The sequence below is a fragment of the Homo sapiens genome, chromosome 14, assembly GCF_000001405.40.
Source record: "Homo sapiens chromosome 14, GRCh38.p14 Primary Assembly".
Taxonomy (NCBI): Eukaryota; Metazoa; Chordata; class Mammalia; order Primates; family Hominidae; genus Homo; species Homo sapiens.
In genome coordinates this window covers 50964931-50991739 of record NC_000014.9, presented here as the reverse complement: position 1 = coordinate 50991739, position 26809 = coordinate 50964931, and the positions used below count along the sequence as shown (strand labels likewise).

At 42.3% G+C, this 26809-nt stretch overlaps 1 protein-coding gene across 34 annotated transcripts in view, besides 1 other annotated feature; it reads left to right on the top strand.

Moving 5' to 3' along the window:
* TRIM9 (tripartite motif containing 9) overlaps positions 1–16474 on the top strand; it is a 119840-nt gene extending 103366 nt beyond the window's left edge. For 9 of the 34 annotated variants that reach the window (NR_170652.1, NR_170646.1, NR_170642.1 and 6 more), the window contains 3 exons: positions 9637–9940; positions 12191–12353; positions 14387–16474. Coding sequence is in view for 22 of the 34 variants with exons in the window: in NM_001387378.1 (NP_001374307.1) it covers positions 9637–9940; positions 12191–12353; positions 14387–14449 (530 nt within the window). In the remaining 12 variants the exon portion in view is untranslated. The other 25 variants (NR_170640.1, NM_001387374.1, NM_001387376.1 and 22 more) reach the window with 16 other exon arrangements.
* Positions 5227–5933: an enhancer, noted in NCBI's record as "NANOG-H3K4me1 hESC enhancer chr14:51452525-51453231 (GRCh37/hg19 assembly coordinates)". NCBI's record gives its function as "activates a minimal SCP1, AML or CMV promoter by ChIP-STARR-seq in primed H9 embryonic stem cells {active_cell/tissue: H9 hESC(primed)}" and the evidence as "EXISTENCE:reporter gene assay evidence [ECO:0000049][PMID:30033119]".
* Positions 16475–26809: the final 10335 nt, after the last annotated feature.

The following is a 26809-nucleotide window of genomic DNA, read 5'->3' as shown; positions in this document are numbered from 1 at the left end:
CTTTGTGGCTTCTCTCTCTAAAACTGCTGTTGAAAGTTGTTTCAGAAAATGCTATGAAGCAGCATTAGATACCTCCTGCCTCCTCCAAGGGTCATAATGAGTCTTAAAGTTATGCCTATGATACTGAAAATTCAACACTAATAGAAAATGATTGATAAAGGATCATATAAGGAAATGTATATGGTCTACTGAAAGATGGTTTTTCTGTCTCTGCTTTTCCTGACCCAGAGCATCTGGGCCTCTCCAAAAATAGTTAGAAGAATATGCATTTCCAGGACAAAGTTCTCAAGGTAGGTAATCATACCTGACCATATTTGGGTAAATTTTACAAAATCCAAGGTGAGAGGCATAATGATAGGTTTCAGAGCCCAGAAAAGAGAGATACTTTGTTCTTTTAAATTTTGACACATGCATGATATCCCAGGGAATTTCTTGCATTTTTCCATGGGACTGAGATTCAGAACCCTATTTTTGGTTCTGGGAAGTGTGCTTTGCAACTGATACCCTGGAAAGCAGTTTCATTCTTTGGAATCCTCTGTATGTAATTGAAATACAGGAATTTTCAGTTCCTCTGATGATAGTTCCTTATAAATAATGCCATGGTATTCTAAATTGGAGTGGAGAACTTGGTGATGAAGTATGCATCTGTCCTTGGGGTGGCAAAAGCTGTTTCATTCTTCTAAAAGAAGGTTTTCAAAACAGATTTGTTTCTCACTTCTCAATTGCAATTAATGCCACACTTAACAAAGCTTAAAATACCACCTTTTATTATAAATTATGTACCAGTTGGACATAATTGTGACTTTGGCTGCTTATAAGACCATTTATGAAAACAGCCTCATTCTTCATTCATTTCTTTGTCTCTTTTAAAATCTTCCCAACAAAAGCAAATTATTTTACAGCTGGTTTATAATTGAGTTGAAACTCATCTTTAACACTGTACAATTCTTCGTGACATGTCTTGCCTTACCGTGCTCCAAAATACAACCATCTTATTGGACCTGGGTTCAAGGGCTGCTTAAGTTATGAAGTTGTTCACTGCCAGACAGGAGGACAACCCAGACTTCTACCAGGACACAGAGGGCACTGGATTAGTATACACTATCATAAGCAACCACAATCTGTTTGCTTTTCCTCTTTAGATTCCAAAAATAACACCCCAAAGGCTACCTTTTCAAATATTCTACAACATCTGCAAAAATCTTTAGTACTCTGTCCTTGGAGTCAGTCAAGAAATTCCACCCCCAGAAGTGTAAAAACCAATCAATAATATATGACACTGATTTTCTCTAAATTATTATTTTTCTTATGGTTGAGTCTCCTGCCAACTTTATGTTTCCCAACGGCTCAATTCTACTGCAATGTCTGGCACATGACAGGTGTTCAATAGCGTTGGCTAATGAACAAATAAAAGAAATATATGGGCTGGGTGCCATGGCTCATGCCTGTAATCTCAACACTGGGGAGGCTGAGGTGGGAGGACTGCTTGAGGCCAGTGGTTTGAGACCAGCCTGGGCAACATAAAAAGACCTTGTCTCTACAGAAAAAATTAAAATTGGCCAGGTGCAGTGGTATGCACCTGTAGTTCCAGCTACTCAGGATGCTGAGGGAGGAGGATCCCTTGAGCCCAGGAGTTCAAGGCTGCAGTGAGCTATGATCAACACCACTACACTCTAGCCTGGATGACCAAGTGAGACCCTGTCTCTAAAAAAGAAATAAAGAAACAAAAGAAATATATGGTGGCCAAACAGGAGTACATCACCTAGATATTCTCAGTCAATAATACAAGTGGTCCCCAGCCAATCTTTGCTTTGTTGATTCTTGATTGCTTTTTTTAAGCAGAGGTCTCTGCCCTTATCTAGACCCTAACTCCAGACTCCAGCCAATCCTAGTGAGGAAGGGAAAGAAGTCCAGGAAAGAGCAAGAGGAAAATGATGGTCATTGACAGAGTTGATGGAAAGCATATCTTGATACGTATTCGTTACGAACACAGTCCCGTCCTAGAGTTATAGTTATGCCTAGAGTCACCACATTTGGCCATTGACATACTGTTTTCCATTGCTCTTTCCTGCTAAACTGCTTTCATTCAGCAAAGCTCTGCAACCACACGGGATCCCTGCGTGTGATGAAATATGATGTGATGTTAAACGTCTCTTCAGGAGCTCCTCATTTTTCTCTAGTGATCTATAAAGTTAAAAATTAATAATAATTATTATCCTGCATATTAGCTGTGACCTGAAACATAGCTTTGTATCATGTATTGTGAAAAAAAAATGACAACCTCATTCCTCTTTGTCCTTAATAATAGAATATGAATGGCTGAGAAGCCTTCTCCATATTGTGATAGTTGTGTTTTGAAGGGGAGGTGAGGAAGTAGTGTGTGCCTTCTTCCTGCATCCCATGGGCATAACGCAGAATACGCACTTAAGTAGGTGTGTGCACATTCAATGTGTGTTAAGTGTGATTCGGCTAAACCAGGGAGTGGCAATACTGTTCTCAATGTTGTCATATTGTCTTTGATTCATGCCTTTGAACATGTCCAGAGGGCATGACCAGGAGAGTAAAGGATTTGGAATCCATACATAGTGAAATGGTTGGACATTGACTCTATTTAGCCCAGAAAAGGGAAGATTTAAAGAGGATTGGTGACTGGCCTCAAATACTTGAAGAACTAGTGATCTGTTCCATGTGGCCCCAGATAGTAACGCTACAATTGGAGAGTGGAGCTCCCAAAGAGGTATGTCTAGACCAATATAAGCAATAACTGCCAACTAGAGGGAGCTGGCTGGAAGCAATGAGTTCCTCATCCCAGGGGACTTCAAGGGGAAGCTTGATGGCAGCTCCTCTGATGATATTAAGTTTCTTCCCTCTAAGACTCCTGAAATCTAAGGTAATGTGAAGTGGTATAGATGACTTACAGGCAGCTGACCCAGCATGTGCACTACATGCCCATGGGGAAGGGCATGAAGGGAGAATTGCTTGTTTAGTTAAGCTGGGATCAGTTGGAAAGTGTTTCTCTCTTGTAATTCATTTGAAAAGTTCTCATTGCAAGGTAGGATTTTTTTGTTGTTGTTAACAGCTACTTAGAGAAAATACGGTAAAAGCCCAGCTGGTAGGTAATGGGAGGTCATAGATGGGGAAAAAACTCAAAAAAAAAAAAAAAAAGAAATGGTTGTACAGTATGGATGTTAAATAAACTTGCCTGATTAGAGTGAAAGGAGTCAAGGAAAATTGGGTCATCAGTAAACAATGGATCCACATGGAAGGATAGGAAGAGCCATAACCATCTTAATGCCAAGTTACTAATCCCGTGAATAACCATAGCTACCCTCAGTCCCCACCCTATAAAGGGGTGTCATCACCTACTCTAAGTTCTTCTTGGTGCTGAGAATAGAAAAGGTAAGTACAATTTATGATGGGATTGGATACACTCCCCAAGGTCTGTGTTCAGTAAACATCTCTTCACTGGTTTTCAGATAACTGCTTGGGAATTCAATGCACTCTGAAATTCATATTATTTTATATGTCCTTTCCATTAAATTTTAAAGCAACAAATATTTTCAATATCATGAATTGACTGTCACACCTAGTGAAAAATACATTTCCAAGCAAATTCTTGTTAATAAAAAAATCTTTTAGTCCGGGTGTGGTAGCTCACGCCTGTAATCTCAGCACTTTGGGAGGCTGGGGCAGGCAGATCGCTTTGAGCTCAGGAGTTCAAGACCAGCCTGGACAACATGGCAAAACCCCATTTCTACAAAAAATAGAAAAATTAGCTGGGCGTGATGGCTCACGCCTGTAGTCCCTGCTACTCTGGAGGCTGAGGTTGAAGAATCACTTGATCCAGGAAGCAAAGGTTGCAGTGAGCTGAGATCGTGGCATTGCATTCTGGCCTGGGCAACAGAGTGAGACCCTGTCTCAAAAAATAATAAATAATACTAAATAAATAAATAAATAAAATATTTTATTGACATAAATATAGTTGTAAATGCCTTCGCTCCATAATAGAAACCCATGCCAGTTTGTGGTGCTTGGGTGTTGTATTTTGAATTTTTCTATTACACTCAAAGGCTAATTTCCCCTTAAGATGATTATAACAAATAATTTTTGATTTATCATATCTGAAGAAAGAAATGATAATACATGATATTAAGTCATTCAAACCATATGAAGTTTAGGTAGGAGAAAAATGTATTCTTAGTGGGAACACAAAGTCTTGACTCCATAAATAGCAATTCCTTTTCTCTGAGATCTGGTTTATACTTTCATTTTTTAAAAGTCATCCCCCCACAGATAAGTCTAAAGCCTGAAAAGCTAACTTTAATATTGTAAGTTCAGAGGCTGACTCTTGGAGGTATTAAATTAAAACTTGCCAATGCCCTTGTTCAGAGCTCTTCACATAGGATGATATTCTGCACACACACGTGCTCCAGTTATTTTTGCTTCAACATGCGAGTAACATTTTGATAGAAGTGTATGTCCAGCAAAGAATTGCTGCTAACTGATTCAAACCAGAAAAAAATTCACGGAAATACCCTCTGGTCACAGAAACAAAATTATTATTTCAATGAGAAGAAAGTTCCTTTGTGATTTTGGACATGGCATATTACCTTCCTACCATCTGTATTTCCTAAATTATTGCTATTAGACTGAATGTTAAGAAGGCTTCAATTGGCGAAAGATCCACCTCTGACTAGACCACACCGTGCATAGAACCAGCTATTGTTTGACAAAATAGAAAGGACCAATTTTAGTAATTCAGAGAAACTAACTCATGCCCTTCTAAAACCAGATCAAATAATTGTTAAGTCTTTAGTCTGATATAATAATTATCTTCAGGCCAAACCTGACTATCTGAACAGAAACAGATATTTTGCCACCAATGCACCTCACCACTGCCTACAGTCTGTTTATCATTAGAGAAACAAAGATGGTCAAGTGACATCCCTAGAGTCTGATCATAATTCAGAAACAAAGGTAAGGCTCTTTCCCTGCTTACTTGTCCAGCCCTGTCTTCCTTAGACCACCCCACATTTCCTCTCCTATTCAAAGATAGAGTCTGGAGTGTGCTAGTATAAAAAATCAGCTCATCCATCTAATAGAAAAATACACATTAGGAGAGAAATGGGAAAATATGGAATAGGAAACAGTTTGTAAAAAATCACCATCTCTTAGATAGAAACCCTTTAAGAGGCCATTGTTGAATAGGTAGTAACTCCCAGGACAACTGAAGGGGGTAAAATAATATCCTCTTGGTCATCAATAGGTAAAATTTGCCTTTACATTTTGTACATTCAATTCTAAAAGTATTTTATTTAATTAAAAGGAAACCTTCCAATTTTCTACCACTAAAAATCGGGAAAGTGACAACAATTGCCTTTGTTGTTCGAGGTGTCCTCTGGTCTTGGGTCCTGATCTGCCGAAAATTCCCTCCCTGCCCCCAGGCACATTGGTTTTGTAAATGCCTGAGTGTGGCACCCTGTGGGAAAGATGAGGCTTTGTATGAATGCATTGTTAAGGCAGGTCTTGGGGAACCGTGCACGGGGACATAATAGCAGACTTCTGATCTCTAGTTTGCATTGATCTTACATTTAGACACAGATTCAGAAGAACAGACCCTCCCTTTTCCAGTGCCTTCGGAAAGATTGCCGCTCCGTAGAATGAGTCCTTTCTCCTCCACCCTTAATCTACAACCCAGCTTCCCCGGGAGATCCTACTTTGATTTCCGATCCTCACCCCACCAGCTGAGCTTGCATTCCTCTTTACAGTCTCTCAATGCACCGGGTGAGCTGAGCTCCTCAGACCTTTCCCCTTGATCTCTGTGCCTTGAAGGCATCTCTGAAACGCGTGTCTTGTTCTTGCCATTCATGTGCGTGGTGAGGGGGATGAGCTAGTCTCTGTCTGTGGCCTGCTTTCCGTATGAGGAGCATCGGGATGGTGGAGCTTTGTGGCGTTCTTGTTTGTGTGGTGGAAGGAGCAACCATGGAGCTGTGGTCCATGTATTACGGCATTAGAAAGTGATGAGTGAAGTTATTCTTTTCGCACAAGCTGGTACCACCATGGATAACCCGCTCTGTCATCACATGCAGTGGCATAGCACGGCACGGGCGCTGGCTGAGTGGCGGCCATGGCAGTAATGTGGAGGTTTGCAGCCCTTCTGTATCCAGGAAACCAGCAGTGTCTGGGAGACTGGATCAGTGCATCCAGCCTGGAGTGGTCTGATTAAACATAGACTCAAGAGATCTTTATTGACAAAGTACAATAAAAGTAAAAACACACCAACAGCAGAAAGCATCCTATAAAGCAGGCAATCCAGAGAGCAGAAAGTGAAAGCATTTTCTGCAAAAGCCTGTGCTCACTGCTAGGACAGTGGGGCTCATGGCTGAGTGTTTTCCTAGCAATGGGGTGGGATCACTGCTAGCCGAATTAGAAACCCTTAACTCCTAATGCCTAATGACCAAAGATCTGAGTAATCAAAAAGTCTGGACTCCTCGAAGTTTCCCACAGCCAAGCTGGTTGTGACAGAGCCTAAGGCTGATTTCAGCAAAGCTAGACTTGTGTTCCTTTGTAGCGAACACTGCCTAGCAAATAGAATGTTAAAATATATAAGATGCAGACCTATTTGATCTCTTCAGGACTATATTGTAATCATGGATACACATGATGCACATTTCATATTTCCAAAGGTTTCTTTTGGTTTTTATTTTATTCTTTTTGCTCATCCCACATTCTGGAATGAAGAAGGCCACAGCATGACAGTGCAAAAAGGATGCAGGGACTTCAAGCTGTCTTTAAAATGACATTCTTCTTTGTGCTTTTATGTTTCTTATTGTTTTTCTGTGCACTATGGCTTCCCAACATGCTTTGTTATGAAACTCTTTTCCCTTGTGTCTAATGTACTGAAATATCGTTACAGTCTTTGTAATGCACATTGTCTCAAGAATAAAATGAAATGTGAGTTTTGGGATATTTGATGGGTGTATTTAAGAGCATTATTCTAGCTGTATTGTTGAATCTTAAATGTATGATAATGTATTTAAAGTAGTGTAAAAAGATTTCAGAATATTTGTTTTGAAAAAGAGTTGCACAAGGCATGATTCATTTAAAAGTTTTTAAAGCCCTATTCAGATTCTACAAACTTATTTCCAAGCTGAATATGAGAGTCGGTTTTAAAACTCCAGGTATTCCATAGTCACTATGCTCTAACACATGAATAGGAATTGAAGTGATAATTGATAGAAACAAAACATAAAAATCAGCCATGAGATGGGAGGAAACGATTCTTTTGCATGTGAATTCATCCCAGAGAAAAGCAAACTAACCAAAAGTAAGATCATAATTTTTATATTTTGTTTTTAACTCAGCCATTAGTCCTTTTTTATAGTAAGTTGCTTTTTTAATTCTTGTAAAATTCTTTTAAGTCAGCACATTATCCTGCAAATGTTTTAGGAATTAGCATATAAAGGCCTTACTAAATAGAAAAGAAAATAAAATGATCCTTTCTTTATCCCCCAGTGTTCATCAAAACCACATTTTCTAGATCAGTCCTTGAAACCACTGGAAATTGTAGGTCACACACTTTTGAACATTTTAAGACTAGGCAGTCTTCCTCCACACAATGTAATTTCTCATGGGGTACAGGTATCCAAATCTTAAGGAAGGGAGATGGTTGAAAAAGTTCCACAGGGGATTCCAATGTATCTCTGAGACCACACCCACTCCTACCATCCCTCCTCCCCTCCCTCAGGTGAGAAGGATCTTGTCTCCTAAGAAGGAAAGGAGGCAGTTTTAACACATTCGTCATGTCATTATTAATAATTATTAATAAGATGTATGTATTCACAAATGGATTACATTACACATTTAGTTATATTTAATTTGGGCTCAAGTCACAATGAAGACCTTTTGGCATAACCAGAGTTAGAAGTGCATAGAATAGTGAGAGCAGAGTTTTATCAAAATCCAGTGATTTCTCCGTTGCAATTAAGTACATTTTCCCCATTTTTAAAACAGCTAGCCTTCTTACTGTGGAAACTTTAGAGGAAAAGATTGAACTTGGAAGATGAAAAATTCAGCTACAGAGTTTAGGATCAATTGGAGGAGGATTTATTAAATGGTAAAAAGATGTGCTTTTCATTTTGAAAGAGCAGAGGGGCAGTTTTTTACCCAACAAACTAAATAATATAAAAAGGGCTTTGTTTTTTCATGGATCAGGCCTCTGGTATCTATATTCAACTGGTGCTTTTTAAGCGTATACAAGTAATTTTTATCAACCTGGTTGTTGTTTCATAGCGTTGATGTGTAGTATCTCTTTATAGGATGCAATTTTGAGACACAATCTGCACCTTACTCTCAATTAGGCAAGTATACCTATTGTAATTATCTTTTACTTACGTGATTGGTGTGCTCAATTTCCTTCACAAAATAAATGGCGGCAACTTGTCTTATGTCAATAAAATTGTCTAATTGTCATTCTAACCCTATTATAGCAGTTTCTCAAACTCTTAAAAAATGGAAAAGATGCCTGTAGTGTTTAATGTTATGCCTCAAACCTTACTTTTCCCCCAGTTTTCTTTTACATCAGTGCAAAGCACTCTTTATGAGCACTAAATGTGGGTAAAGGTACAAGTCAGAGAGCACCTGTTTAGTATATGTGGCATTTTAAATTGAGTCCTTTTGGGGTACTAGTCTATCAAGAGAGACACATTTTCTTATCCATGTCAATTTTGCTTCCTATCTCTCTCCCCCATGCCTTTCACTTGGAATGACAACAGTTGACATTAAAAAGCTGTTGGCAGGTATGGAATAACCTTATTCTGTTACCAAATAGCAAAGACCAAAGTGCATGTGAGGTGTCTCACAGGTTTAATAAATCAGCAATTACATCTCTCGAGTGTGATATTTATAGGTGGCATTTAGAACTTGGGGCGTAACAATGCGTACAAAGACATCATTCTATCTGCACCTAATGTCCGAAATTCCTACTGCTCCAGCAAAATTTCTGACGTGTTAGTTTCAGGAGTAGCACGCAAACTGTGTTTTTTAAGTTATGCAGACAGCAACCTGTCCTACATGCAAGTCACAATCACTCATGAAAATTAGTTTATGTTGCTTATAGCTTCGCAGCTTGTGAGCTTTCACTAGAGCCGAGGAAGACTTCAAAGCGACTAGATGTTAGCACTTCTGCCGAAGGGATATTTCCTGATTTCACTCCATGTGTTTTATCCCTCCTCCATCTAGGACTCTAGCTCCTAGCCTCCCCGCCTCAGGGGTTACACAGGCATCTTAGCGCATCCCCTCTCCCTTTATGTCTCTGGTGCACTGTTCTGCCAGTCACCAGGTGAAGGGACTTGCACCTTCCAAAATCGATGCCACTTCACTCCCGGATCACCTGGTTGGGAGTGCAGTCTGAGCCAGGTAACCCCTGCTGAATCGGTCGTGTGTCCTCCGTCTGCTTCTGGTGCAGAGAGTACCAACTCCCAGGACGTGCCCCTGTCTGCCCTGGCCCTGGACGCCTCCTTCCTGCATGGCAGCATGAAAACGCTACACAACGCTCCTCACCCGCCCAGGAGTATGTTATGGTGCTGAGCTTGTTGGGTCTGTCTTAATAACCTGATTCCCTTCTGTTGTTCCCAGTGGCCTGGTTTGCTTTCGACCCTGGCTCGGCGCACTCGGACATCATCCTCTCCAATGACAACCTGACAGTGACCTGTAGTAGCTATGATGACCGGGTGGTGCTAGGGAAGACTGGCTTCTCCAAGGGCATCCACTACTGGGAGCTCACGGTAGATCGCTATGACAACCACCCTGATCCTGCCTTTGGTGTGGCTCGCATGGACGTGATGAAGGATGTGATGTTAGGAAAAGACGACAAAGCTTGGGCAATGTATGTGGACAATAACCGGAGCTGGTTCATGCACAACAACTCGCACACCAACAGGTACCCTGCAGCCCCCAAACCAAGCCTTCTTCACGTTGGCTTCTGATCAGGAGTGAGAGCCCCAGTTCAAAAACCTATTACATAGACCACATTCAGGAAATCAAACAGGTGGTCTACATTAAGTAGCACAGGCAATCTATGAGCCTCAGCTGAGTCCATGCTGGTGGTTTACTTTCTATATAATGATAGAGACTTGAGTACTTTCCTACTCCCTTCATTGCTGTATTTCACCCATGGCTGGAAACTAAGAATCCCAATGGATATCCATTATAAGAAAACAATCCAGGATGCTGAAACACCCAGACCTACAACTTAACAGAAAAGCACTTTTGGGCAAGTTACTTCGTTTTTTGAACCTCAGTTTCCAAATCCATCAAATTAGTACAATAAAATTTTTCCTTGTGGGAATCTTCTGAAGATTAAATGAAATATGTGAAAATGCCTTACATTGGAAGCACCTGAAAATAGTAGCCATTCTTCTTATTACGATTCATTAAACTAAAGCTTATGGATGCCAATTTGAATGGCTTTCTACTTATAGAGAACTCTCTTATTACTGTATTAATCCAGAGCAGCCAGTTTGCTAAGGAAAGGAAATACAGTAATCTCCTTGAGGTTTTCTTCTACCACCAAAATATAGATCATTATAATTGAACACATACTATAATGGATTTCCTTTCTCATTTGATTGTGTTCCTCAAATGTATTTTTCACAAATTTCCTAGGCAGAGAAATTTCTACTGTGGACCCTGGTCCACCTTATGCTCCAAGATTTCCCCAGGATACATTCTCATTAGTGTCTCTGAAAAAAAAAAAAAATACAGTAGTGTTCAACCAGATCAAAGGGAAAGCAAGTCAGACATTGGTAGGATAATTGGACCCCACTGTTTTATCTTTTTCTGTATGCTCATCACTGACCCTTCTCCAGCCTGTAGACTCCTAAAGCCTCCTTTTCCCTTGGATAGCTTCTATAGCATTCAAGTGTGTATTATTCGCTGTCACTTGAAGTGAACACACACACCATTTCACCATGAAAGCAAATCCTACTGGATGTAGATAAGTGGTTATCTTCAGTGATCGGCATTTTGTGGAACTCTCTGTCAATAGATTCTCAGTGCTATCACCCAAATGCCACACTTACTTTTTCCCTTTTAGCGTCTTTGTTTTGAAGTGCAGGAGTGAATAATGACATAACCATCACACTATGCAGAGAAACACATTCTTAATGCTGAACACATCTGCTTGCATGCAACCTGCATGTCACTTGTGCTTTCATTGTTAAACCTGTGAAGTAGCAAGAGGCAATTTGTAAACCTGTCTTTTAATGACTATGTACAGTCTGTATCCTGCATGCAAGAGGAAATGAATGACACAAATTCCTGTGCTCTGCTGAGATGAGGACGAAGTTCAATATTGCTAGATCTCAAAAAAATGGGAAAGACAAATCTGATCGTCCATTTTTAATGGCATTTTGTGAAACCATCAATTGAAGCATAAGACACAATTCTTTGTAAAATGGCATTTGTATGCAGGTTCTTTAAAATCACTACATCTCAGAGTATAATTATTTCACTGTACAGAGAAGAAGCCTCTTCTTCAGTGCTGTCATTTCACAGACAGCCTCCAAGTTCTTAATTCAAATGCAACAAGCCAAAAAACTGCTATCCTTCTGGAATGAGTTTTTCTGTTTAATGGATAACATAAGGCCCCAAATCCAATTTCTCATGCATGTGGTTTAGGTGCAACAAAAGTGCTTCTTATTTTGACTTTCAAATTAAGTCACTTTGTATTTAATGATATTTAATTCACACCATTTATACAAAGTGTGCAATATTCCTAGAGTCAGAGCTCTGATAGCCCAAAGGCGACTTTTTCCTAGTCTTTAATGTTTGGTTTTCTACTGCTGTGACTCAGTGGTAGAGACCCTAATGAATGAGTTCACTCTCAGCAACAGCAGAGCAACTCACAAGGGCAGATATCTCCCCCTAGGAAGTGAAAATTGATGGTGGCAGGGAGGGAGCAAAAAATCATACTCTTGTTATGTATAAAACACAGATATACACACAGTACCAACAGGTATACAGTATATCTGCGGTATTAAAATTTATGTGCAAGGGATGATTAGGGAAACGGTTTTGGGGTAGTGATGATTATAAACAGGTTGCAAGACACTGGTTTCACCACACAAAAGGGGGGAGCTTCTAGAGTGACCACAAGGAAATGAACCCCAATTTTTCTCTTTTCCTACAGAACTGAGGGAGGGATCACAAAAGGGGCCACAATTGGGGTCCTCCTCGACTTAAATAGAAAAAACTTGACATTTTTTATCAACGATGAACAACAAGGTCCCATAGCATTTGATAACGTGGAGGGCCTCTTCTTCCCTGCGGTCAGCCTGAACAGGAACGTGCAGGTAAGCACCCTGCCCCTGAGGTTAAACAGCTGTTGCTGGCTACCGGTTCAAAGGCTGCCCAGGGCCGTTCAATCCAACCGAAGAGAGGGAAGCTGACAGCGTAAGGCCCAGACCAAGATATGAAGGAGAGGAGGAGAGAAAGGGATCAGCACTGGCAACTTATTTTATTCCACGCCAAGCATAAGCACCTTCTTTATACTTGGACGCAGACTAGTTAATAGCACATAGGAAACTAGAATTCTCTTCATGGTTGGCTAATGATCATCTCTGTAGCTCTAGTTTCACCTCTAAATAGAAACGAAAGCCTTTAACCAACTGGCATGAAAACAAATAGAATGACTTAACAAAGCTCAGGAGTGCCTGAGAAGAGGTGAGGGTGTAAGACTGAAGCATTAGTATCATTATCAGAAAATCTGAGCATCTTCTCTGCACTCTTGTTTGGCTCTGTTAGGTCCTAAGGGGTAGAAAACATAGTCCCTACCTACAACTTAGTCAATTATTATTTATTATAGAATAAAACAACAGCTTCTCATTTATTCATTCAGCAAATATCTATAGAATGCCTTTAATGTGCCAGGCACAGTTATAAGTGTCTGGGATACATCAGTGAAAAAAAAAAACAAAAAAACAGATAAAAATCTTGCCTTCATAGAACTTACATCTTAGTGATAGGAGACAGACAATAAATAATAAGCATAATTACAATGTTAATCAGATGGTGTGTCAGAAGGTGTTTAGTGCAGTGGAGAAAAGACCAAGGGCCCATGAGTGGTGTGGTTGGGAAGGGCAGCCACAGTATTGCGTAGGTAGGGCTTATCGCAGTTACCGGTGAGCTGAGCCTTAAAGGAGTGAGGGAGTGAGTTGCGTGGAGCCTTCCAGACAGAGGGAACAGCCTGTGCACAGTTTCTAAGGCATGAGGGGCCTTGCATGGGCAAGGAATGGTGGAGAGACTCTTGGGCTGGGGCCTGGAAGGGGGACCAGAGCCATGCATGGGGGAAGAGCTGTGCCCTGCCAGCCGCTGTCAGGACTTAGGGTTTCACTTCCCTCCTGAGCTGGGCATCTCATTAACAACTATGAGCCTCATTCCACAAATGGTTGTCTTGAGATAAGGCTTGAGAATTACAGGTGACTTTTGCCCTATCCAGAACCAGCCTTGGAAACTATTTATCAAAATTCATTGTTGTGTTTCAGTATGTGCAGTAACATTGATTGCAAACTAGCAGCCCCTGCCCTTCTCCCTGCAAGGAGATGGGGTTTTCTAGAAGGCTGGAATCTAATCTTTCAGAGTTCAGCCTCTACACTTTAAGAAAGAAAACCATAAATTACCCTAGAAGCGAGTCTCAGAAAAACCCCATTCAAGGTTTTTCACATTAGCCATTTCCCTTTCAAAGAATATTATACTAGATGCTCTTCAGGGGTTTTCAGGACCTTCTGATTATCTATTGATAAAGACTCTTGGGCTGGAGAAGACAGGGATAAGAACTGCATGAAATGGTTCTAGTTTTATCCATAGCTATCCATTGAGGTTTGGGGATACACGGAAATTGGTAAAATAGTATAATGCCATGTTTTTTCACAACTGGCAATCATCTATGCGACCCCAGAAAGAAATGTTTGCCCTAATTACAATAACTAGTGGACAAGTAATAAGGGAAGTGCTGTCTCTGCGAATCTGTCCTCTATCCATGGATTTGGCAGTGGTCACTGTGGTGTGGCCAGTAGGCTCCTCTATCTGAAAACCAAGGCCTGTGTCTTCAGTTATAAGGAACACAATCTCCCCGGAATCCTTTAAAAGAGGCAGGTGACTAAGAACCATATAATCAAATGTCACCAGGATTTGAGAGCCCACCATGGTGAGCAGCCTGTTACCATAGGCAGGATTCTTCTTGAATTCCGTTTAATGCCTGCTAGCCTAGATGTTTAAAGCGAAGCAAACAGAACACTTTTTGAGTTAGGGACACACCCACGGTACACTGTGTAAAGGGACAGGGGGATGCACGATGCCTCTCAGGACTCACAGTCTCATTCCCCAGGTCACGCTGCACACCGGGCTCCCAGTCCCCGACTTCTACTCCAGCAGAGCATCAATAGCCTAAGGATGTGCCGTGGAGGCGCCAGCTGCCTGTTCTTACCTCCGCCTGCGAGAGCCACAGCAAGGAGCTCAGCCAGCCGTGGTGGGGTGCAGAGTTGGCAGGAGTGGGAGAAGGAGGAGAGAAAAGCTGGTCCTCTGCAGTCTTTACACCCACAGCTCTGCCCTTTTCCCTTTCAACCTCTCCTCCGCTGTCATGCCTGCTTCCGCTTCCATGTCCAACAATTCTAACCAACAAAGGACCTAGACAGCCCACCAAGTCACTTGGTTCCCACTCCCAGATTTTGCTTTTATTTAACTTAATTTTTTATGTAGGTGAGTTATATTTTCTTTCTTTTCTGATCAGGTTATTGGTGACTTACTGGACTGGCACCGCCAGGAGAAAATTCTCCTGCTAACTTTTTTTCTTAAGCTTTCTGTCAAACAATGAGGTTGTAGGGGGAGGTAGGGAAGAATGAGCTGAATTTGTAGCATACAGCTTACCTGCTAGAATGTTCTTACCCTCTTACCTCTCCTGTAGCGTTAGCTCTGCAGAGCTAAGCTTTGGGAGAATGAATCTATCACTGAGAAGTTTTACTACTCATTGAAGCACAAAAATATCCGCTACACAGGTTCACATCAGGGTAGGATCGTTAGGATGGCTCTATAATTAGGATAGGCCAGAACCCTGGCCACTGTATAAAATTGGAAAGTCTCTAAGACACAGGCAAACCAGGGGACTTAATGATTTGGTTCGTTTATTTAATAAAAGCTTTTAATTGAGAACCTACTATTGACCAGGCACTGTTCAAGACACTAGAACATTATGTTCTAGACACTGTGGGGACACAGTGGTGAACAGACAGGCATGGTCTCTGCCCTTCGGAGCTTATATTCCAGTAGGAGAAAAAGCAAAAATAAAATAATTATAAATGGTCATATGTACTAGAAAGGAAATGGGCAAGGGTCAAAGAGACTCATGGGCAAGATCTTTCAGGCTTCCTAGAATGATGCTAAAAATCCACACATTCTGGCCATAGCACCAGAAATGTACCAACTCAATGCCTTTTCAGCTGCACTATTTAATTATGGTACCTGCTGCCACTCATCACAGAGCCCTTCTTGGTAGAAATGATGTCAGCATTCTTATTTGCTGATGCTGCTATGATACCACGCCTTAAAAATTGACAGTTGAAAAAAAAAAGAGTGACCAGAGGGCAAAGGACCCATTCTCAGTAATGGGAGATCTTGAGTTGCAGTCCACAGCATTCACATTCTCAGGATAAACATGCTTGTCTCCATATATACTATCTGTGCCTGTTATGAATGAAAAATCCATCCACTCTGCTGCCATTCACAGCCTAATTTTCTGGAGTAGTCCAAACAATGTTTGGAAAAACATGGGACTGTATGTCATTACTATGACTGATAGCAGAATAATAATGCATCTTACTTCTATATAGAGATAGACTTACATAGGTTACCCTTGAAATTCATTAGTTTGTCATAAAGTTTTAGGAAAGGTAGGACCCGGAAAGAAGTTCTAATTAGTTGTCTAAATATTTTTCAGTGAGCCAAGAAATTCACCATGAAAAAACAAGAATAACAAATAGAAGGGAAGAGATAGGATGGGAAAGCTAACAAATTAAAGTTTTGGCAAAAAGGAATATATGTAAATAGCTAATTATTTACTTTTGTGCTTACTTTATTTAGATTATTTCTATCAGTTACAATCTTTTTCTAGTTAAGTGTACCTAATTTATGGAATGGGTGCTATCCTGTTTATGTGTGTCTTGGTTTTTCTTGGCTACAGAAAAACTGTTGCAGGGCAACACTAGTTTGATATTTGATTTACTCTCCAATGAGACTCAATGGCTGGGCCGTGGTAGACTCATAGTTCCTCTTGTTCTTTATTAAATTCATCCTGCTAATTAGATTTCTAGTGACTTGTAACATGTAGTTTACACTGAATTGCAATTACAGATGCATACAACTACTATACTAGAAAAAATTGTCATTTCTGATGTGCCAATAAATGATTTTTATGAGAGAATAAAATGTCTCTAGAATTTCTTAGTTTTTATCTATTGCGGATGACAATTCACCTTTGTCAGAGCGATGTTTCTTCAGGAAGATCTCATTGGAAAGGCCCCCAGAGCTCTGGAGAGCATGTGTTCTTTCCCCTGTTTCCTTGGGCATGTGGCACTGCCTTTTGGTTTTACTCATATGAAATTTAACCTGATGTGAAATGTCCAGTGGAGATGTCTGGGGTCTGCTTCCAAGTATTGGGGATTTACTTCTGTTTTTTTTTTTTTTTTTTAGACGGAATCTCACTCTGTCACCAGGCTGGAGTGCAGTGGCGCAATGTTGGCCCAGTGCAATCTCCCCTCCTGGGTTCAAGCAATTCTCCTGCCTCAGCCTCCCGGGTAGCTGGGACTACAGGCACACACCACCACGCCCAGCTAATTTTTTTGTATTTTTATTAGAGACGGGGTTTCACCATGTTGGCCAGGATGGTCTTGATCTCTTGACCTTGTGATCCACCCGTCTCGGCCTCCCAAAGTGCTGGGATTACAGGCGTGAGCCTGGCCTACTTTATTTTTAAAAAGCCACACATTTGGCTTGCAATTTTATAGTACTGCAAAACAGAGTGTCACTGACTTTTTCAAACCTAGCTCCTTTAACATTTCTTTGAATGGCAAAACAATAATTACAACATTATTCATCTACCTAACATTGTTGTTAGCCACTAAAAAAACACTTTGTTTCTTGATTAAAGGAAAAACATTACCTACAAATATATGGTCTGAGTTATAACCTCACAGAGTGGAATAGTACACAGTTGGTAGCTGCTGCTGCTCTCCGTTGATTCCAGTTTCTACACATTCCTCTTTCTGTCACGGGATCCTTGGGGTGTCACTTCTCCAGCCAAAAACCTCTGTGGCTGGCAGCGCCTTCTGCCTGAGTACTGCCTGCACCTACTGGGCTCATTCTGCCCACTCGGCCTGGCAGGCTGCACTCGGCTCACACTACCAGCCTGGATCCCACACCTGCTAAGGGTGAGTCAGGTGTGGAGTGGCAAGGGGTGTGTGGGCAAGTGAGCTCTGGGTCTGGCCACTGCACACAGCCAGGCAGGCCAGCTGCTGTGGCAGGGCAGGCAGCTCCAGGCACCAGCAAAGTTGTTGGCTCTGTAAGAGGCTATGGCTGGACCAGATGTACTGCACACAGCTTCCACTACAGGAACATGCATCTGGCTGAAGGGTATGTGGTGGCACCCGGAAGCTTGGAGATACCAGGAACCACAGAGCCCCAAAGAGGGTGTCACAGCCCTGGCTCCAGGAGCCCCTAGGTATGGGCTCCCAGAAGGGCCACAGCTCTTCTCTCCTTCTCATCACCTGCAACATGGTGAGCTGAGGGTGGTGGCTGAGGGTTTCAGCCCTGTTTGTGTTACAGCTCTTTCAGTCCCACCATTCAGCAGGTCCCAAGTTCTTGTCCTGTATCCAGGAAGAGTGAGGTACCTGCACAACTGGAGGGTGAGCAAGGCAGAGAGGAGCTTCATTGAGTGACAGAACAGCTCTCAGGAGACCTGAAGTGGGTAGCTCCCTCCACAGACAGGTCACCTTGATGTCTGTGCAGACCCCAGCAGAGAGGAGACCCAGAGTGGGTAACTCCTTCCTGCAGCTGGTAGTGTCGACGTCTGGCTGAGCACAGGGTTTTCATGGGCTCAGAAGGAAGGAAGTGTGTACTGAATGATCCATAGGCAGGCATGGATGGGCCTGGAAACAGCATCATCAGTTCTCACTCTGGGCCACGGACTCACCCCAGAACTGGCAGCCTGGCCCCCAGGCTTCAGGCCATCCCTGGCTTGAAGGTAGGGGTTTCACCAGGGACCTGCCCTTTTCTGTCCAGGAGCATGACTTCCTCCTGCCACCATCAACATGCCTTCCACAGTACCGAGGATGTTTGTGCTGAGGGGTGCCTGCAGGCCTGCACTGGGCTATCTTCGGCTCCACCTCGGCCTCCCTCCCATGCTCATCAGCACCCAAAGTCCAGAGGGGGCTGAGGTGGCAGAAGGCTGGTGTGACAGTGCTGTCCCAAGCACACACACACCTGGGGGGTTTCCGACAGCGCCCAGGCTTGACCACAACTTTGCTCCACCCTGGAGGGGGCACCAGGAGCAGGGAGAGGCCAAGGAGCGGGAGCAGGTACTTCTGAGCCTACGGGGGGAGGGGAGCTTCCCAGGCCCCCAAGAGCGCAGGGATGCCCAAGTCCAGAGTTATGGCTGGGCTGCCGCAGCTGCGCCTGGGATTTTGGGGCTTTGGCCCTGCCAACTCAGTAGGGAGCAGGGCTCTCGCCTGTTCCCGGCCCCTACTGGCTCCGTTGAGCAGACAGCCCCAGGCTCACCTTGCCCCCTGCAGCCAGAGTCTTTGCAGCAGTGGCTCCAGATGGGCCGCTGGTGCCATCATTTCCACTACCATGTTACTTTTTTCTTCCTCCTCTGTTGGTCCCATCTCTGTTCTGGTTTTCTGCTCTTCTGTTTACTACCTAATGGAACGCATTGCTTATGTTTTACTCTTCTCGTGGTACTGAAGTTAATGGAACTTGTAATTCCTCATATTTCCTTATAGGAGTGAATAAGTGATTTGCAAGAAATCATTTTATTTTCTAGAAATGAGGTCCCTTTATTCCTCCCTCTGCTGTAGGCATTAATCTTTTGCCTATCTATTCAACTCACTGAGAAGAAAGGAGGGCTTGCTATTGAATCCAGATTTCTGATTATGAATCAATGGAACTATAATAAACAAACAAATTCTCTGGTCACACTACCTTATGATTTATGTGAACACACTAAAGACACCTGTATGTATTTCTCAAAATATGTGCTAGCTATTTCCACTAAGGCTGATGTTTAGGGAAGCGTGGATCTGACATAATACATCACATACAACTGAGGCGACCTAAATGTTGTGTTTATCTGAAGAACCAATTTTTTGGATAAACACAGAATTTGGAGCACTGAATATGAGTGAACAACAAAAGCACCTAAATAGATGTACAGAAACCTCAGTCTGGGCCTTTCAGTTTGTTACTTCTTCACCCTACCATGGCTGTGCTAAGAAAAACTACAGAAATAGATGTGTGGTGGCCGGGCATGGTGGCTCACGCCTGTAATCCCAGCACTTTGGGAGGCCGAGGCAGGCGGATCACGAGGTCAGGAGATCGAGACCACGGTGAAACCCCGTCTCTACTAAAAATACAAAAAAAAAAAAAAATTAGCCGGGCATGGTGGCGGGCGCCTGTAGTCCCAGCTACTTGGGAGGCTGAGGCAGGAGAATGGCCTGAACCCAGGAGGCGGAGCTTGCAGTGAGCCGAGATCGCGCCACTGCACTCCAGCCTGGGTGACAGAGCGAGACTCCGTCTCAAAAAAAAAAAAAAAAAAAACCAAAAAAAACCAGAAATAGATGTTTGGGCCCCTGGGAAAAAAGAAAAAGGATCAACATTTTATCAAATTTCCAGTACAGAATTAGATAGTGGTGGTGGTTGCATAATCTTGCGAATATACTAAAAACCACTGAAATATATACTTCAAGAAGGTGAATTACATGGCATGTAAATTATATCTTAATACAAAAAAAATTCCGTGACAACACTCAAGGATCACTCAGCAGGAAGCAAAGTACATGGACAGTGCAGGAGTGCTGTCTCAGGCCCCATCAGGCAGGATGCCACCCTTTGCCAGGGCTGTGCTGTCATGCGGTCACTGTGGGGCCATGTTGGACTGGACCCTGAGTCTCATGAGTTCTCTCCTTCCAGCCTCCCTCAAATTACTCATAATAGTCTGCTCCTATTTCCCCAAACCTGTCCAGATGTAATAAGCTTCTCAATTTTCTAAAGCTCCTCTCCAACTTATATTTTATGTTCTAAACCCTCCTGTATTATCCTTGTTCATACATCACAGCCATCTGTTTTCTTCCCTAATTAAATGGAACCATCTTTATCTTATCTAAACCCACTTCTAGTAGCAAAGATTTATTGACTTTTTGATTTATTGTTAGGCTTCCATTTAACAAACAATTTTTAAGGAAAGATGGAGGTATTAAATATGAACTACTCTACACTCTGTTTCTGAACTGTGTTTTCAACCTAGTAGTTTAATTAGTTTAAAATGAGCAAATCACCTGCAGTAAATGAGGATCCTAATTGTTCCTGCCGTAATGCTGATTTTCATATGGGATCTCAACGTATTTTCCTAATTGCCTGGTGGGCACTGTTTCTCTCAGATGTGAAGAAATATGTCTGCAGGCTTATTGGTTGGGCAGGCTTGAAATGATGACTAGGTGAAGGTTAATTGTAGCTTCTCAAGAGGTTGATTTTATCATTGGCATTTTGGCAGAAATAACAGGCTTTGCAGAATACGCAAACTTTATCTAGGTGTAGTGTTGTATTAAGACCTGATACACCAGCAGAAAACCACAAATTTCTTTATAGGAAAGAAATCACTCAGTCTTTAAAATTTCTGAGGTCCAGCCAAACCTCCATGCCACTATCAAATTCCACATCTTCAAGATTTCAAGTCAGACCAAGAATTAACACATATGCTGAGGCTAAGCTAGCTATCATCCTAGCTAAGGGGACACTTTGCTTTGATATTAAGAGAATCTGAGCATCTGCTCTCCTTGCCTTAGGGATGGGGAAAGCGAGAATCCCAAGGAATCAGATGAAACACTGAGTCTATTTTTTTTTTTTGAGACGCAGTTTCGCTCTTGTTGCCCAGGCTGGAGTGTAATGGCATGATCTCGGTTCACCGCAACCTCTGTCTCCCAGGTTCAAGCGATTCTCCTGCTTCAGCCTCCCAAGTAGCTGGGACTACAGGCATGTGCCACCAAGCCCAGCTAATTTTGCATTTTTAGTAGGGACGGGTTTTCTCCATGTTGGTCAGGCTGACCTCAAACTCCAAGGGGAGTTGGGATGTGAAATCAGGGGCCCAAAAGAGTACAGGATACAAGGGTGCACCCAGTGACCAGGAGATTCACACGCATCACACACCATGCTTTTTGTTTTGTTTCCCTTTTTTCCTTTTTTTTTTCCTTTATGCATCAAGCTTCATTTCTAAGCTCTTGCCAGGTGTCTGGCAGTAACCAAAGGAAGCTTTATAATACATGGGGTGCACTCCTAGTAAACAATGTCAAAGACACTGTAAAAGGAGAACAACTAAGGAACATCAGTTGTCCCACAAAATTGATCTGACCCAATATGATATTTTTCATGGTCTGAATCCTTCTAGGGCTAGACTAATAATAGCAATTACAATTTTCTTATTTCTCAGATGCAAGGGTTGTGTTTTGTGTTTCTGTTTTGAGAGACAAGGTCTCACATTGTCACTCAGGTTGGCACGCAGTGGCATGATCATAGTTCACTGCAGCCTCAAACTTCTGGGCTCAAGGGATCCTCCTGACTCAGCCTCTTGAGCAGCTGGGACTACAGGCACATACCACCACTACTGGCTAATTTTAAAATTTTTTGTAGGGATGGAATCTTGCTATGTTGCCCAGTCTGGTCTTGAACTCCTGGTCTCAAGGGATCTTCCTGCCTCGGGCTTCCAAAATGCTGGGATTAAAGGCGTGAACCACCAGACCCAGCTGGTTTTTTTGTTTTGTTTTTTACACCTTAACATCTCTCAAATCAAGACACATCTTACAACACATGTCAAAAGAAACTCTTTAGGCTGGGAGCGGTGGTGGCTCACGCCTGTAATCTCAGCACTTTGGGAGGCCAAGGCGGGTGGATCACTTGAGGTCAGGAGTTCGAGACCAGCCTAGCCAACATGGTGAAACCCCCCGTCTCTACTAAAAATACAAAAATTAGCCGAGTGTGATGGTGCATGCCTGTAATCCCAGCTACTCAGAAGGCTGAGGCGGGAGAATCGCTTGAATCCGGGAGGTGGAGATTGCAGTGAGCTGAGATTGTGCCACTGCACTCCAGCCTGGTGACAAAGCGAGACTCTGTCGCAGAAAAAAAAAAAAAGAAAGAAAGACACTCTTCAGCCATTGATAGAGTGGTGGTTCTCAGCCTCCACTGCACACTGAAATCATCTGGGGAACTTTAAGAATACTGATGCTGCCGGGTGCGGTGGCTCACGCCTGTTATCCCAGCACTTTGGGAGGCCGAGGAGGGCGGATCACGAGGTCAGGAGATCGAGACCATCCTGGCTAACACAGTGAAACCCTGTCTCTACTAAAAATACAAAAAAAATTAGCCGGGCGTGGTGGCGGGCACCTGTAGTCCCAGCTACTCCGGAGGCTGAGGCAGGAGAATGGCGTGAACCCGGGAGGCGGAGCTTGCAGTGAGCCGAGATCGCGCCACCGCACTCCAGCCTAGACGACAGAGCGAGATTCCGTCTCAAAAAAAAATAAAGAAAGAAAGAATACTGATGCCAGGTTACTAATTTAGTTGGTCTAAGATGCAGCCTGAGAATCTGGAATTTGTAAGGTGATTCTAATGTGTGTCTAGAGCTGACAGCCCAGAGGTAAGGAATGAGTGGGTAGTGTATACTCAGCAAAGTTTTTATTGCCTACACATTTGGAAAAACAATAAGATGGGGGGCATCATCTTATAACCAACAAAGTGGATCCCTCAAAACATGAAGTCTTTCCATGTTCAGTGTCATGAAGCCAATACACAAAACTAAAATTGTCAAGTAGAGCAGGCTTTATTCAATGGCCATGGAATTAAGAAGTGGAAGCATGGCTCACAAATCAACTTCTTGACCAGTGAGGGGTGAGGGGTGCAAATAAAGAGTTTCTCTAACGAAGAGGATGGACATTAAAAATGAAAAGAGGGGCCGGGCACGGTGGCTCACACCTGTAATCCCAGCACTTTGGGAGGCCAAGGTGGATGGATCACGAGGTCAGGAGTTCAAGACCAGCCTGGCCAATATGGTGAAACCCCTTCTCTACTAAAAACACAAAAATTAGCTGGGTGTGGTGGCACGCACCTGTAATCCCAGCTACTTGGGAGGCTGAGGTAGAAGAATCACTTGAACCTGGGAGGCGGAGGTTGCAGGGAGCCCAGATGGCACCACTGCACTCCAGCCTGGGTAACAGAGCAAGACTCTGTCTCAAAAAAAAAAAGAAAGGAAAATGAAAAGAGGAAGACTCAGGTCTTTTCTGGAAAGGGTCAGTGAACTTCCCAGAACTGGAGTGATGCCTTCCTCCTTTTTTGTCCTTTTATAGCTTCTTCTGGTCATTGTCCTAGCAATTGTCCACTGTTATGGTGATGGTCAGAGTGTCATTTAGCATGGAAATGAGATTATAATGAAGCCCGAGTTCTTTCTGAAGTCATTTGCTCAGCTATTTTGGTTCTAACCAGTCTCAACTGTTCCGGTTACAAAGGGAACTTTTTATTGCAGGCATCCTGTTTCTTAAAGCAGTGTTAGGGCAGAGCAGAAATTCAGCTATGTCACAGAGGCATTACACCAGCTAACAATTTCATCATTCTGTTACTTGTTATTTCCTTTGAAAGTTGATAAACTTAAATTCACATCTTAATTATCACTTAAAAGGTCTTTTAAAAGATCCCATTATAATGCAGTATAGAAATGAAAAAATATATTGTACATGCATAAAATTAATAATCATTCACTGGATAATATACAATTGAAATAGTCATACACTGGATAATATAATTAATAAAATTGTCAAGATGCTGAGAACAAATCACAAATTTTTGAAATCTAGGAAAAGTTTTTGGGACCAACTGATATGTGAAGAGCTATCATTCAGATGTCTAAATCTGTCAAAAGCTTCCAGCTACTTCCCAGAAGCTCTTTATTTCCTATTATTTATAATTCAGTTAACAGTAGCAATACAAACAAAATAGCCAAAAGAGAAATGCAAAAAAAAAAAAAAAAAGAAAAGAAAGAAAGAAAAAAACACACACATAATCCCACTGCATTCTTTAAATTATTCTGCAGCCTCACAAATATGCTAGCAAGGTCCAGATCTCGTGCAAGGGTAATCATTACATTACGTATAACTGCCAGTGGCCCTGCTTGATACAGAGGTACTTGGGGACCGAATTGTGTTTGTTAGTCTGAAGAGCAAAGTAGCATGTATTGTGGCAGATAATGCATGCTATTGTAAGTAGAGTTTTCCCAAGTGGTATATATTAAATGTTGAACTTGGCTTTGGTTTTCTCCAAAACAGTTCCATTTTTTTTTTTTTTTTTTTTTGAGACAGAGTTTCACTCTTATTGCCCAGGCTGAAGTGCAGTGGTGCGATCTTGGCTCACTGCAACCTCCACCTCCCGGGTCCAAGCAATTATCCTGCCTCAGCCTCCTGAGTAGCTGGGACTACAGGCACACGCCACCATGCCAGGCTAATTTTTGTATTTTTAGTAGAGACGGGGTTTCACCATGTTGGCCAGGCTGGTCTTGAACTCTTGACCTCAGGTGATCCGCCTGCCTCGGTCTCCCAAAGTTCTGGGATTACAGGCGTGAGCCACCATGCCCGGCCAAAAGAGCTACTATTAAGCCAGTAGTGCATCATACAATCTCTAACTAGAACTTCTTACAATTGAGAAATCCAATCACTCATCATATCCGCAGGTTCCACATGGGTGCATTGAAACAAGCTTGGGTTGAAAATGCTGGGAAGGAAATTAAAAAAACAAGAAAAATAATACAAATAAAAGGAATACAGCATAACAACTATTTACAAAGCATTTACATTGCATTAGGTATTATAAGTAATCTAGAGATTTAAAGTATATAGGAGGATTTGCATATGTTACATGCAAATGCTACACCATTTTATATCAGAGACTTAACTATCTGTGAATTTTGGTATCCCAGGGGTGTCCTGAAACCAAGGCTTCACGGATATGGAGAGACAACCGTGCTCTAATAATGTAAGTTGCCAAATATTGAATCTTATTGTTTTCCAGGCAATGTACCAAGGGCTTTTAGTGAATCATCTTACTTACCCTTCATCTTACTTATGCATTTTTATTATTACCATTTTAGAAATGAAGAAACTGAAGCACAAGAGGTTAAGCAACTTGCCCAAAGTCACACAGTATACAAGTATGACAGCCAGGGTTTGAACCCAAATAGTCTGACTCCAAGACACAGGCTCTTAACCTGTAGGTTATATGACATATGATTGCTACACATAGGATGTACCACAGACAACACACTCATTCATACGATTAATATTTAATGAGCACCTATTAAGTGATAAATGCTGTTGTAACAATGCTATTACTGGGAATACCAGTGAATAAAATAGACAAGGTCCCTACGTTCTTAGAGCTGATATTCAAATAGGGAAATAATAAGTAAAGATCAAAATCATTTTAAGTCTTAATAAATACAACACAGGAAATCCAACAGGCTATGAGATAGAGAGATATGGAAAAGTCAGCAATTACCTCTCTGAAGGGGTTATATTTGGGTTGAAGAAGCCAAGACCAAGGGAAGGGGTAAAGGCCTTGAGGCGGGAACAAGCCCAGTAAGTCAAAGAGTTAGTGAGGGTGAGGTGCATGCAGTGAGAGGAAGGAGGGTGGAGAGCCCAGCCTGCTGAGGTTATATGAAAATGCTACACCATTTTATATCAGGGACTTGAGTATCTGTGAATTTCAGTATCTCAGGGAGGTCCTGGAACCAATGCCCCCGCAGACACTGAGGGACCACTGCAGGGAGGCCCTGCCAGGCAGGTGTGCCAGATAGGAATCTTTGGCTACAAAAACACCCAACCTGACTGTGGCTGACCTAAAGGCATAGAAGGAATATGCGAGAAAGACATGGGGCAGCTCAGAAAGATGGGAACGAGGGCAGCTCTGGGGATCAAGGTAGCAGGAACTGATGAATATCGGGTCTTATCAGAGACTGCCAAGGGGGCGCAAAAGCTCCAGCTCATCCTCATTTTATTGTCTCACTGCTCAAGATTTAATTCCAGAAAGATGGTGTCTGGTTTTGCTTGTATCCTGGGTCTACCTCTTAGCTGAGGGAGGGCAGGACATCACCACTTAGAATTCCAGCCACTGAATCCAATTTGAGTGCTATTTCTAGAAAAGTAGGGATAGAGGCTTGGCAGCAAAATGAGCAAGGACCCCTGCACCATGATGAAGTATTTGGGCTTATTCCAAGTGTAGCAGGAAGCCACTGGTGGGTTTTAAGCAAAGTGAAGTGACAGGTTATATCTACGTAATGTTTTAAATAAATGAATGCTGTTTAGTCTGGGCCTTTAATTTCTGGGATTTTTTTTTTTTTCTGAACAAAAGTAAATGCTTTGGAAATGGCAGAAAGCTGGGAGACATTTACAATCGTAGCAGAGAATAAACAGTGAGAGGGGAGGTTCTCTTCTATATTGACTTTATGTCTCAGAAT